The sequence below is a fragment of the Homo sapiens genome, chromosome Y (assembly GCF_000001405.40).
Source record: "Homo sapiens chromosome Y, GRCh38.p14 Primary Assembly".
Taxonomy (NCBI): Eukaryota; Metazoa; Chordata; class Mammalia; order Primates; family Hominidae; genus Homo; species Homo sapiens.
The window spans coordinates 8,804,968-8,819,863 of NC_000024.10; the positions used below are offsets into that span (position 1 = coordinate 8,804,968).

General features: G+C 39.8%; 1 long non-coding RNA gene across 1 annotated transcript in view; it reads right to left on the reverse strand.

Annotated features, from left to right (window-relative positions):
* Nucleotides 1–12,415, reverse strand: part of TTTY11 (testis expressed transcript, Y-linked 11) — a 34,070-nt gene extending 21,655 nt beyond the window's left edge. Inside the window, exon 1 of the long non-coding RNA NR_001548.2 lies at nucleotides 12,379–12,415. This is a non-coding gene — a long non-coding RNA (testis expressed transcript, Y-linked 11). The remainder of the gene's footprint in view (nucleotides 1–12,378) is intronic.
* Between the last annotated feature and the right edge of the window lie 2,481 nt (nucleotides 12,416–14,896).

The window sequence follows — 14,896 nt, forward strand, 5'->3', positions numbered from 1 at the left end:
AGGGACCAGACATGGAGAAGCTAAGATGGTACCATGAGGCATTAATAGAAGGTCTAAAGAAAGGGGCTCAATAGGCTACAAATGTAAATAAGGTCTCTGAGGTCATCCAAGGAAAAGAGGAAAGTCCAGCACAGTTTTATGAAAGACTGTGTGAGGCTTACCGTCTGCACACTCCTCTTGATCCAGCTAGTCCTGAAAATCAGCGTATGATTAATATGGCCTTAGTTAGTCAAAGCACAGAAGATATCAGGAGAAAATTGCAGAAACAGGCTGAGTTTGCAGGTATGAATACCTCATGTTTACTGGAAAGAACCAATCAAGTGTTTATGAATAGAGATGCAACAAGCCACAGAGAAAGCCTTAAGGAAGGCTAGTCAAAATGCCTACTTATTGGCCACAGCCATTATGGGAATTCCCCTGAAAGGAGAGGGAAAGGGGTGTTCTGGGAAGAATACCCAGTCTAACCACCAATGCTGGCAATGTAACCAATGAGCCTATTGTAAGGAAATAGGACATTGGAAAGATAAGTATCCCCAAATGATGGAAAAGCAAGTTTATTCAGAGCAAAAGACCTCAGATAAAGACAAGGGAGCTTTGTTCAAGCTGGCTGAAGGGCTACTGGACTGAAAGGGGCCAGGCTTAAGCACCCCTAAGGAGCCCAAGGTCAGGATTACAACTGGAGGCAAGGACATTAAGTTTTTGGTTGATACTGGTGCTGAACATTCAGTAGTGACCACCCTGGTCACCCCCTTATTCAAGAAAACCATTGATATAATCAGAGCAACAGGAGTTTCCACTAAGCACACTTTCTGTCTACCACGGACCTGCTCAGTGGGGGGACCTAAGATAGTTCACCAGTTCTTGTACATGTGTGACTTTCATCTGCCCTTGCTTGGAAGAGACTTGCTTAGCAAGCTGAGAGCCACCATCTCCTTTACAAAACAGGGCTCTTTATGCTAAAGTTACTGGGAACAGGAGTTATCATGGCCCTTGCAGTCCCCAGGGAAGAAGAATGGAGACTTTTTCTAACCAACCTAGGCCAAGAGATAAAAACAGCTCTAGCTAAGTGATGGCTCCAAGTATGGGCAGAGGATAATCCTCTGGGACTGATGGTCAACAAAGCCTCCATACTCATAAAAGTTAAGCCCAACCAATTCTACAAAAGCAGTATCTGGTTCCCAGAGAAGCTCTCAAAGGAATCCAGGTTCATCTCCGGTACTTGATAGCCTATGGAATTATAGTTCCTTGCCAGTCTCCATGGAACAAACCCCTCCTGCCTGTCCCTGAGACTGCCAGCCAGTACAGCACTTGCGCTTGGTCAACCAAGCTACAGTGACTCTGCACCCAACAGTTCCTAACCTTTACACATTTTTAGGGCTGCTGCTGGCTGAGGACAGCTGGTTTACCTGTCTGGAGTTAAAAGATGTCTTCTTTAGCATCAGACTAGATCCTGAGAGCCAGAACCTCTTTGCCTTTCAGTAGGAATACCTGGAAGCAGGTGTCACTACTTAGTACACTTGGACCCTGCTTCCACCAAGGGTTCAAGAACTCCACTACTATCTTTGGGGAGGCCCTGGTTTGAAACCTGCAAAAGTTTCCTCCTGAAGACCTAGGCTGCATCTTGATCCTGTACGTGGACAACCATCTGCTGGGTCACTCCATGGAGTCGGGTGTGCAAAAGGGAAGAGTGTCCTGCTTTGGCACCTTTAGGACCATGGGTATAAGGTTTCCAAGAAGAAATCTCAGATCTGCAGACAGCAGGTATGCTACCTGGGATTCACTATTCAGAAAGAGGAGCGCGGCCTGGTGTCAGAAAAAAGCAGGTCATATACAGCCTACCAGAACCTAGAACCAGAAGACAAGTAAAGGAATTCCTAGGAGCTGTGGGGTTTTGCAGATTATGGATTCCTAACTTTGCAGTACTAGAAAAACCTTTGTACAGGGTTACACAGGGGGGTGACTGGGTGCTTTTTGAATGGAGGCCTCTACAATAGCAAGACTTTTGTAAGTTAAAGGAAAAATTTATGTCGACCCCCGCCATAGGACTACCAGATTTGACAAAGCCCTTTGCATTCTATGTGTCAGAAAGAGAAAAAATGGCAGTTGGAGTTTTAACTCAGACTGTGGGGCCCTGGCCAAGGCCAGTAGTCTACCTCTCAAAACAACTAGATGGGGTTTCCAAAGGCTGGCCACCATGTCTAAGGGCCCTGGCAGCAACAGCCCTGTTAGCACAAGAAGCAAATAAAATTGCCGTTGGGCAAAACCTGAATGAAAAGGCCCCCCATCTGTGGTAACTTTGATGAACACGAAAGTACATCATTGGCTAAAAAATGCTCTATTAACCAAGTACCAAAACTTGCTATGTGAAAATCTGCACATAGATATTGAAATCTGTAACACCCTAAATCCTGCCACCAGGCTTCCAGTATCAGAGAGACTGATTGCATATAACTGTGTAGAGGTGTTGGACTCAGTCAATTCTAGCAGATCTGACCTTCGGGACAAGCCATGGGCATCAGTAGACTGGGAGTTATACATGGAGGGGACCAGCTTTATCAATCCACAAGGATAAAGATGTGCATGATATGTGGTGGTAACATTGGACACTGTCGTTGAAGCCAAACCATTTCCACAGGACACTTCAGCCCAGAAGGCTGAACTCATTGCTTAAATAACTTGGGCTCTGGAACTCAGTGAAGGTAAGACTGTAAACAGCTACACTGACTCTTGATACACCTTTCTAACCCTCCATGTGCATAGAGCATTATGTAAGGAAAAGTGCCGTTAAACTTTGAGGGAAAGAACATAAAATATCAACAAGAAATTCTAAAATTATTAGAGGCAGTGTGGAAACCTCAGAAGGTGGCAGTCTTGCACTGCAGTGGACACCAGTGATCCTCCACCTCAGTGGCCTTAGGATACCCTTGAGCTGATTCAGAAGCTCAAAAAGCAGCATCTACTTCTTACTGGGCATCAGTAGCTATCCCCTTACTCCCTCAAATCCCTGACTTGGTATCTGCCTATTCTAAGGTAGAAAAAGACTTCTTCCATGCAGAAGTGGGGCAAGTAATAAAAGGAGGATGGATCAGACTGCCAGATTTGAGGGTAGCTCTGCCACAGTTGCTGGGAGTCACAGTCGTATTGAACATGCACAAAACACTCATCTAGGACAAGAGTCACTTGAGGAATTGTTAGGCCAGTATTTCTACATCTCACACTTGCCAGCACTTGCCAAAGCAGTAGCACGATGGTGTGTTACTTGCCAACAGCCAATGCGAGGCAAGGCCCCACAGTTCCACCATTCATACAAGCTTATGGAGCAGCTCCTTTTGAGGATATTCAGGGGGATTTCACAGAAATGCTGCAATGTAGAGGTAACAAGTATTTGCGGGTTCTTCTGTGTACTTACACTGGGTGGGTGGAGGCTTATCCAACAAGAACTGAAGAGGCCTACGAGGTAAAACATCTGCTTCTCTGAAATCTTATTCCTAGGTTTGGACTGCCCTTATGAATCAGCTCAAATAACTGGCTGGCGTTTTTGCCTGACTTGGTACAGAAGACAGCAAAGGCATTAGGACTCACTTGGAAGCTACATGCTGTTTATGGACCTCAGAGTTCTGGAAAGGTGGAGCGAATGAATCAGACTATCAAAAATTGTTTAGGGAAAGTAAGTCAGGAAACAGGATTCAAGTGGATACAAGCCCTTCCTATGGTATTGTTTAAAATTAGATGCACTTCTTCTAAGAAAACAGGATAATGTCCTTATGAAATACTGTACCATAGGCCTCCTCCTATACTATGGGAGCTTCCAGGCACTCCCAGAGAGTTAGGTGAAATTGAATTACAGCGACAACTACAGGCTTTAGGAAAAATTACACAAACAATCTCAACTTGGGTAAATGAGAGGTGTCCCATCAGCTTATTCTGCCCAGTTCACCCTTTCTCTCCAGGTGATTGCTTGTGGACCAAGGACTGGAACGTAGCCCCTTTGGGGCCACGGTGGAAAGGACCTCAGATCATCATCCTGACCACCCCCATGGCTGTAAACGTAGAAGGAATCCCAGCCTGGATCCACCACAGCTGTGTGAAACCTGCAGCCAGTGAAACCTGGGAGGCAAAACCGAGCCCAGACAACCCAGCAAAGCGACTCTGAGGAGGACAATAAGACCTGTTCCAGTCACACCCAGAAGCTGACTGTTTTATGAATGTCTGAAGCATGAGAACAATCATCATGGGACTCATTTTCCTTATAATTTGGACTTGTGTAGTAAAAACTTCCACTGTTTTTCCCCACATGGAGGACAGCTGTCAGTGTATATATCAGGTTACCAAGTTAGGGCAACAAGTTAAAACAATATTTCTGTTCTATAGTTACTATGAATGCCTAGGAACTTTAAAAGGAAAATGTTTATATAATGACACTCAGTACAAGGTATGTAGCCCAGGAAATGACTGATCAGATGTGTGTTAGGACCCCTCTGAGCCTCCCATGTCCACAGTTTTTGAAATAAGATTAAGGACTGAAGACTGGTGGGGACTCATAAATGATACAAGTTAAGTATTAGCCAATAAAGAAGAAAAAGAGGAGCCTGAAAGGATAATCTTGAAATTTGATCCCTGTGCTGTCATTAATAGCAATAAGTTAGAAAGGGGATTGGCTCTTTTTGTTGGAAAAAAGGCTATATGACCAAAAATAAGTACATTTGTCATGATTTAGGACTCTGTGGAAATGAATGTGGATACTGCTCTTGTTTCATGTGGACCACTTGGATAAAAAATGAAAGGGATTCAGTCCACCTTCAGAAAGGGAAAAATGGACCTTCCTGTACCAAGGGACAATGTAACCCCTTAGAGCTAACAAAAACCAATCCCCTTGATCATCGCTGAAAAAGGGGGAGTGTGTGGCCTTAGGAATCAATGGGGCCAGACTGGATCCTCCAGTAAATATCTTGGTTCAAGGAGAAGTTTACAAGCACTCTCCTGAGCAAGTGTGTCAAACTTTCTATGATGAATTAAATGTGCCAGTACCAAAAATTCCAGGAAAAACAAGAAATTTGTTTTTGCAATTAGCCGAGCATACAGCCTAGTCTCTCAATGTCACTTCATGTTATGTATGTGGATAAACTGTAATGGGAGATCTATGGCCACGGAAAGCCCAAGAATTAGTACATACAGACGCAATTCCTGGCTCAGAAGAATCACCCTGATAACTCCTGGGTCATAAAAGCCTAATTATTGGATAATATTTCATAGCTAGAGAAGGAAAATAATTAACTCACCCCTTAGGACAACTTAGTTGTCTTGGAAAAAAAACTGTCAACTGGTACCACAAAAACAGTCACTTGGTAGAGTTCAAATCACACAGAGAGGAATCCATTTAGTAAATTCCCAAAGCTGCAAATTGTGTAGACCCACCCAGAGTCCCACAGGGACTGGACAGCCCTCACTGGATTATACTGGATATGTGGGCATGTAGCTTATGCCAAATTACCTGACTGGTGGGCAGGTAGTTGTGTTATTGGCTCTATTAAACCATCTTTCTTCCTACTGCCCATAAAACCAGGTGAACTCCTGGGCTTCCCTGTCTATGCTTCCCACGAAAAGAGGAGCATAGCTATAGGAAATTGGAAAGATGTTGAATGGCCTCCTGAGAGAATAATACAATATTATGGGCCTGCTACTTGGGCACAAGATGTCTCGTGTGAATACTGGACCCGCATTTACATGATCAACTGAATAATATGGTTACAAGATATCTTAGAAATAATCACTAATAAAACTGGCAGAGCCTTGACTATTCTGGCCTCACAAGAAACTCGAAGAGAAATGCTATCATCAAAATAGATTGGCTCTCAACTACTTGGTAGCAGCTGAAGGAAAGATCTGTGGGAAATTTAACCTTACCAATTGCTGTCTACACAAAGGTGATCAGGGGCCAGTAGTTGAAGACATAGTTAGAGATATGACAAAACTGGAACATGTGCCCATGCAAGTGTGGCATGGATTTGATCCTGGGGCCATGTTTGGAAAATGGTTCCCAGCACTAGGAGGATTTAAAACTCTTATAATAGGAGTTACAATAGTAATAGGATCCTGCTTACTGCTCCCTTCTTTGCTATCTGTACTTCTTCAAATGATAAAAAGCTTCATCACTATCATAGTTCACCAAAATGCTTCAGCACAAGTGTACTATATGAATCACTATCAATCTGTCTTGCATGAAGACATGGGTAATGAGAATGAAAGTGAGAACTCCCACTATTGAGTAAGATTCTCAAAATGGGTGGGGGGAATAAAGGAGGAGACCACCCCTCATATTGTCTTATGCCCAATTTCTGCCTCCAAAGAAAGAAGAAGTAAAAAATAAAGGCAGAAATAAAATCCACAAGCACACAGCCCAGCACCACACTCTGGGCCCGGTAGTTAAAGATCAACCCCTGACCTAATCAGTTATGTTATCTATAGATTATAGACATTGTATAGAAAAGCACTGTGAAAACCCCTGTCCTGTTTTGATCAGATCTAATTACCCATGCATGCACCCCCAGTCACGTACCCCCTGCTGGCTCAATCGATCATGACCCTCTCACGTGCACGCCCTTAGAGTTGTTAGCCCTTAAAAGGGACAGGAATTGCTCACTCAGGGAGCTAGCCTCTTGAGACAGGAGTTTTACTGATGCTTCTGGCTAAATAAACCACTTCCTTCTTTAACTCGGTGTCTGAGGGGTTTTGTCTATGGCTTCTCCTGCTACAACATGAAAACATCATTACAACTCATAGGCAATATGAATAAATACTAAAGGCTGCAATGAAAGATTATAAGGGAACCTGATTTCTTGGGAGTGATAATTCAGGAGAAACTTTTCTAAGGAACTGATTTAAATTATTTTTAGTTAATTTGATACTGCAGCTTTCTTCTGACCCTATCACATTGAATTACTAGTATAAATCTATTCCAGGCATCTTGATGCTGGGCTCAGTTGTGAATAGATTGATAACTCTGGATCTATTGGTCCTTTTGTACTGATCAATGAAAATGTCACAATTCTTTGATTTACAACTTCTCATAGATCTTAGTTTTCTTCCTTCTGATTAGGCTGAACTGGTTGATAAGCAGATTGCAGATACAATTTTATACATCCATAAATTTGGTTAATGAGAATCCCTTTCCCCCACTCTATTGTTTGATCCCTTCATAAGCATCAAATTTCCTGAGTTCTCTCACCGACTTTTCTAATATCCTTAGTCAGCAACACAATTGTCAACCTGACTAGCTCAGTGTCTGCTCCCTTGCCCAGCTGTTCTCTTACCCTCTCTTGACATTCAAGGACAGAACTTTTACTGAGCAATCTTCCAAATGCAAGTTAAACCCCTCCACTACTGAACTTATGGAAATCAACATTGAAGAAACAATCTACACAATTAATTTCACTCTTCTGTCAATATTACTACATAAAGAAGAAAAACAGCAACTTCTAACTATTTTAAGAAAAAATCAACAGTCCCAATGTAAGGACTGAGTGTTTTCATTAGCATGTTAAATACTTTAAAATTTCTAAAGGGTTTTATCACACATTTTCTTTTGTGCCTATTTTTCTATGTAGGGGAGTTGTGAGTATAATTTTACTGATAATAAAACCATGGCTCAGAGACGGAAATGTGTAGCCTGAGGTCAAAACCTCACCTAGTACAATCTGTTTCTACTTCTGATTATAATGACAAAGTAGCTCACTCAATTTTGCAGCTTGTCTTATCTTGTGTTCTCTCTTCTTGTCCCTGGGAGGCTGTTTATTTGCAGTTCAACAAAGCTCCTGCAACTTTTATTTGCTTTCTCCAGTTATTCCTGCTGTTTGAGAGCTAGGTCATCAAAGCTTTGCTTGAATCCTGACACTTTAGCCATGAAAATTTTACAATTTTCACTGCTCTACTTGGAAGCTTAACTATACTGAACTCCCATTGTTTCTGAATAGAGAAAGTGCTGCAGCAAGAACCCCATGTGTTTCAGGTGGTTTTACTGAGGAAATCTTACACACCCACAGGTTGTGACCTGTGGGAAAAACTCTCTAGCCAACTAACAGCACACGCTGGATCACTGCCTCTTAAAAACCCATATCCTGTCCTGCCATCTGTAGGTATGGTTGTTTTAAGGATTACTCTGTGCAGAATTTTCCATATAATTCAGAAAGCCAGATTTTTTTATCTAGGTTATCATTAGGAATTCTTTCCATTATGACTATTTTTAAAAGAATAATTTAAGAATAGCATTGCAAGCTTTTCAAATGTACAGAATGCGGTTTTCCTCCCAACTCTATTCTAGTCACTATCAAAGACAGGGAACTGGGTCCTTCCTAAAGTCTTATATCTACCTCTGTGAACATTGAGGCAGAAAGGAAACTGGCCTCACCAGACTCTTTTTCATCCTCAATTCTACCTTTTGCTCTTTATCATTCAATAGTTTTCTCTGGTTCTTAAGCTGTCATGAAAAAGAAACTGCAGTTGCTCAAGTGCTCTTCATAAATGTTTTCTGAATTTCACTTTGAGACCTAGATGTAAGAAAACATACTCAGGCACATGTCTGCTCTTTGCCTTTCGGTAATCTGACTATATTTGAAAACGTCTTTCCTTCAGCACTGGTCTTTGCACTTTAGCTCCCACTTAGCACTCTATCCTCCCTATCACCGTCTGACCACTCTTACCATGTACGTAGGACTCATTAAAATAGCAGTATATAAACTTCTGATTCCATTGTCTTAAAATGTCTAATATGGTTGAGAGTCAAAATGTCTGGATTTAAAACCTGGCTCTACTGCTTATGAGAAAGTTGCCACAACTCTCTGGATCTTAGTCTCTTCAACTGCAGAATGAGAAAATTGAAAGTATCTACCAACCCCGAGTTGCAATGGGAATGAAAAGTGATAAGGCATGCAAAGTGCTCAGAATAAGGTTGAGCAGGTAATAAGGATGCAATAAATGTGAACTATATTATTATCACCCCAATGTATGTTTCTGTTAGATAGAGTCAACCTTATTGATATCACAGGTCTACCATGAAAAGTAAATCATGTAGGCAGAATGCCTAGCACAGGGTCTGGTATAAAACAGACATGTGGTAAATACTCCCATTCTGCAACAAATCACTCCTCCTTTCCATGCCTCCTTGCTTAATGTGAAGAGTCGTTTTCCTCATATATTTTTTCTTTTCTGAATTGATTATTATACTACAATTCTAAAATGAACGTTAAAGTACTGGGTTTGAATTAAGTCCAAAAATATGGGGAAAAAATGTAAAAAGAAAAATTGTCAAGTAGCAGCTGTGTTGTTAGGCAAGGAGATATTAGAGTGGTGACTCATTTATAAGAAGTTTCTTTTAACTCTACAGTGAAGTGGACATTGTAATAGCCCTTACCTTCTGGTCATAAAATACTTGAGGACTGCCAGAAAAAAACTGAAAAACTGGCTATTCTACCTGAGGTCATACTTTTTAATTGCATGAAGTCAAGTGTAATGTGTAATCACTTAACTTCTGTTCAACTGGTGCCACTTTTCAATTTGTTCTTTTTAATAGTCTCACAGACTCCTCAGCCTGGGAGAGGATAGGAAATGCCATATTCTCCTACTTGAGTTATAGTGTTTGATGGCCTCTACGTCACTCCTGCCAGGTGGTCATCCAGTCTCAGTTGATGTCTTTCAGGGTGAGGAAGCTCACAATATCCAGAGAGCTGCCTAAACCAGTTTGAGAGAGATATATCTGTGAGAAAACCTTTCTTTTGATGAGCCAAAGTTTGGCTTCACATGTTCGTTGCTAACATCCTAATATTGTCTCTTCAGGCCTTATAGAACTAGTGTCCTCTTTCGTGTGAAATAATAGCCAATCTATTACTGGAAGAAAATTCTCATATCCTTCACAGATGTTTTTGTTTCTCCACATGGATACTATTCTAAGCTAATTAACATTTTTTTTTAAATTGAAATAAGTATCCAGATAACGTAGACCCAGGGATGCATTCATTCCCGGTATTTAGTATACCCTTAAACAATTTTCAGATTTGGGAACACATTGCATGCCTCCAGATGCCACTCCATAATGATTTATTTGAGGGAATAGCAGTTGATGTTTGTCGTAGTTCATTCAGGCTGTTATAACAAAATACCATAAACTGGTGGCTTACAAAACAAAAACAAAAAAAACAGAAGTGCATTTCTCCTACTTCTGGAGTTTGGGAAGTTCAAGGACAAGATGACAGAGGAGGAGATATCTGGTGAGGGGCCACTTTCTGGTTCATATATGTTGCCTTCTAGCTGGGTCCTCACATGGTAGAAGGGGAAAGACAGGTCTCTGGGGCTTATTTTGTAAGGGCACTCATCTCATTTATAAGGGCCTGACCACCCTGACCTAATCATACAGATTTTACATTTGGATACCACCACATAAGTGATAATTTTTCAACATATAAATTTGTGAGGGGGTGGAATAAAAAGAATCAGTTTATAACAGTTTTAGAAAAATATAGAATCTGTGTACAAATGTTTATTTATTCATTCATTCACCCCAAGTTGTAAATATTTGATATAATTTTTATGACATAAATGTATATTTTTCAGCATAATATTTTACAATATTCTGTTCATATGAGCCCTCTCCCAACTTTATAGTAAAATAATCAACGTTTAATAAATGGGGGCAGAGGAGACAATTATTTTAAAAGATGGAAATAACACTGTTGCCATTACAACAATCCTTCTTTTTCCTTTGAACCACACTCTCCCTGTTCCATCAGTTTTCCTTCTTTTGCCTTTCTGGTTTTATGATCTTCAGCATTTCCCATAGGCATTGAAGGCTCATGAGTCACAAGACAGCTTGGTGCTTGGGTCTTTTTTTCATATCCAGAATCAGTATGTCAGCTGGCACATACTTTGACTTAGAGATTCACTTAATAACTACAGGACAGTAGAAAAATCATCCTAAGACAATGGAGAGGATAGTTATCATTACTTTGCCTTGTTCACTAGATAAGGAAATGCAATGTGAAAGGCAGGAGAGCTCTAACATTGCTTGGTGCACCAAAGTATAAAGTTGGAACGTTACATTTATCTGGAGTAGCCATAATTTTAAACCCTTTGTGGTTTAGGTGGGATATCCAGAAAACTGATTCAATGAAAATTGTTTGTCTACCTACCTCCCATTATCTCAAGTCAAAGACCAGAAGAAACACTTCCATGGTTGAACCACTTGGGTTTATTTTTCGCTGAAGCATGAAAGGGGAATGCATACCATAAGATGTCTTAGTAACGTATAAGAAAATAGTTTATAGGATTTGGGTTTATGTTAGGAGACTTGAGGGAAGGTTTATGTAAGCAAGGCAGTGTCAGAAAGCAAGAGCTATTTTATGATGGGGTATTTCAATAAGTCTTATGCAGAAGGAGGGGAAAATAGAGCAAGTTTAAATTGGTAGTTGATGAAGAAGTGATCACTCACATCAGCCTAGATAGGTGGATATTTGGTCATTTTTTTCCGACTTGAACAACGTTTCTGTTATATATGGATTTAGATGTGATTATGGAGTGGTGTTGCTTTTGTCTTCATCCATCATGGTCACAGAGTGGCCTTATTTGATGTTGCTGCTCTGTGAAATTGTTCATGTTCAACAAAAGAACACCAAGACCTTGCCATAAGTGATAGACCAGCACCTAGCAAGACCCAGGCCCAGCTGATATGACCACATCAGCTCTTTGATGTCAGGGCTGCTCTTCTTCTTCTCACTGGTGGGCAATTGTGGTGCATCAGTGAAAACATTAGGAAACAAAGCGGATGGCAATATGTCCATTCTCATTGGGAGAAGGGGATACAAAAAACCAATAAACTTGGTAAGTAAATTATATAGTGTCTTAAATGCTATGGGAAACGATAAAAGATAATGGAACACTGCAAAAGGATAGGAATTGGAGAAGGCATAACAGAGGAAAGTTGCAGTTTTAAATAAGGCAGACCTCTCTGAGAAGGTGACATATGAGTAAATACTTGGAATGGAGGTGAGGAAGTGAGCCATGAGAACAGGGAATTCTGGTCGAATTTCGGAAAAATTACCCTAATACTGAGTATAGATGGTTAATAATCATCTGCTTACTCTACAGGCAATTGAACCCATCCTCTGCTTCATGTCCAGTTCTTGGTTTTCCCATTGACCTCTCTGAGGCCTTTCTGCCCTACACTAGATAGAAAGGGGTTGAGTAGAAGGCACAGACAAGTTGGGAGATGATTTCCTTTTCCTCAGAACTTCTGCTTTATGACATAAAGGTAATGAGTAAACTTCTTACCCATCTTCCTTCCCAAAGCTGCTAACATCAGTGATCTGTCCTCCATGGAAGGCAACTGCCCACCTGACTATTCCTGTTACAAGATGATTCTTGCTCCATCTTCACTGTAGCCAGGATTCTGCATATTCTCTTCTCATGGAAGGTAAAGTTGTTCAAGTTCTATCCTTACCCATTAGAACTGGAATCAGAGACATGAATCTGAGCTGTCTCCTAGGAGATTTCTTCTGTTGCTTCTGTTTCTTCAGAGCATATTTATGGCTATGAGACTTGTTTCTCTTCTAGGAAAATCTCCAATTTCTCTTTGGTATGCATTATCGTCAATTGTCAAACTTAAAGATATAAACACAGGCCGATAATTTATCTATACTTTGATCAAGATCGCAGCTTATAAGTGATATATCTAAGTGAGCTCAGTCTTCAAATTTCCTTAGCGATGGTCTTGTTTCTAGGTTCCAGTACATTCCTACCTGGTAGCTATGTTGAAATAAAAAATTGTTCAACAGAAATGTTAAAGGTGAAAATAATTGACACCAAGTGACATAATGTAGTACCCTTCTGTGATAAATTGAATAACACCAATTTAAATTTGTACACATCACTACAATGAAAGTAATGGCATGGGAATCTCTTGATAACCAGCACAGCAATATGACAAAAAGTGTACTCTATAAATTTCTGTTTTAGAAAGATGTAATTCTTGATTTGATATGTTTAATCATCAGAATGTGGGACACATTTTTATTACTGAATTATAATGACTGTAGTAACTTACATTTTTATGGGGAATTATGCCTTACTTTTATATTTAGTTTCTCATTTGAGTCCCTTAATATCTCTGGAAGGTAGATAATGTGTGGAGTTATTGTCTTCATTTTACTGTGAAGAAAATAGGGCTCAAAGAAAACAGACTTGCAAATTTAATAAGAGCTGAATGCAGGGATGGAATCCAGTTCTCCTTAATATGAATATATCTTTCAAACAAAGGTCAACAAGTTATTATTTCAATTTTCTATCTGTTGCTTATTACATATCTGAACTTGGACAAGTCCTATAATCTCTGAGTTTTCATTTTCTTGAGGCTAGTGGCAATGCCTACCTCAATATATTATTTTATAATGAATATCTAAACATGTATATCAATCCTAGTATAATACCTGGCAAACTCAATGTGCTCAACAACTGATAGCCCTATTATTATGAGCAAGAGCAACATTTATAAAATTATTTATTAATCTGTAAAACAGGAAGACTAGAACTTGACTCATAGGGTTGTCATTGGTATTAAATGAAATATCAAAAGCAAAGTATTCAACATAGTATGTGTCACATATGCAGACAATCAATGGTAGCTTATATTGTAATTATTTTCAATTGCATCTTAGGATTCACTTTTTCTAACAGTGACTGAAATCTGGTCTCAAATTTAAGTAAAGATGAGGACTTACTGGTGCAAGTAATTTAACAATGAAGGAATATATCTTGCTTCTGGTGTACCTAAATAAAGGCTATTAAATGATATCTTCAGAATCACTCCCACCATGTACTCTGCTCCTCTTTGTTGACTCCATTATCAAGTAGTTCCAAAGTAGCTTTCATCAGTTCCCACGTCTACATACTCCAACATGTTTTTCTGGTGGGAAAGAACAAAAATATTTATCCAACCATTACCATCTTAATGTCACAAGATTCATGTGATTTTATTGAGTTAGGTTAGGTGCTCACCTCTGTATCAATCAGTTGGGCCAGAGAAATATGATGCCCATGTTGACATGCATCCTGAGTAACATGCAAATATCTAGTATGTTATTAGTAAGCTATATAGACTCATTCTCAAGGAGGTAGTTCCTTGATCTATGTAATTTGGTTATTCCATTGTAGTTCCCATACCAATAGTTCACCTTCATCCATGCATTATCTCATTTTTCTGTTGATAGCACAGCAAAGTACAATTTAGCACAAAGGAATTGAACAAAATTGTTACTTAACATACTAACAATATCAACCTATTCACTGTAATTAGCATTTCTGTGATACATCCTTACATTGTGTAATCATCTGTCTTGAACACCAAAAGAAGATGAAAGAATTATTCTTGCCTTCAAAGGAATCCAAGCTCATAACACAAGAGACAGATATTTTAAATATTTAGGTGAATGTGAGCAATAAGATAGAGCCATCCCAAAGTGCTCTGGAAATGCAGAAGATATTATTTCTGAATGAGACTGAACAAAGGCAAAAACTTGAGACAGCTAGAAAATTTAATGAGAACAGTTGAGAAAGCTGTTGGTTTAAGGCATTAACACTGTAGTTTTCCAAGGTAGGCCTGGGTGTATTATGAGGAAGTTATTCTAGATTCAGGGAGCACATAGTTTGCAGATGAATGAGTGTATGCTTTCTTTTTATTTTTCTCAAGACACTTTTTTCCTTCCCTTTTCTGCCTCTTGATAAATGAAATCCCATTATCTTTATAAATTTCCAGAGACAATTCCTCACTTAATCCCACCCCCAGGACCTACTCTCAGGATTAAATTGGGTTAGGTAGCAACATTCATTCATTCAGTCTATCAGTCAGTGGGCTCCT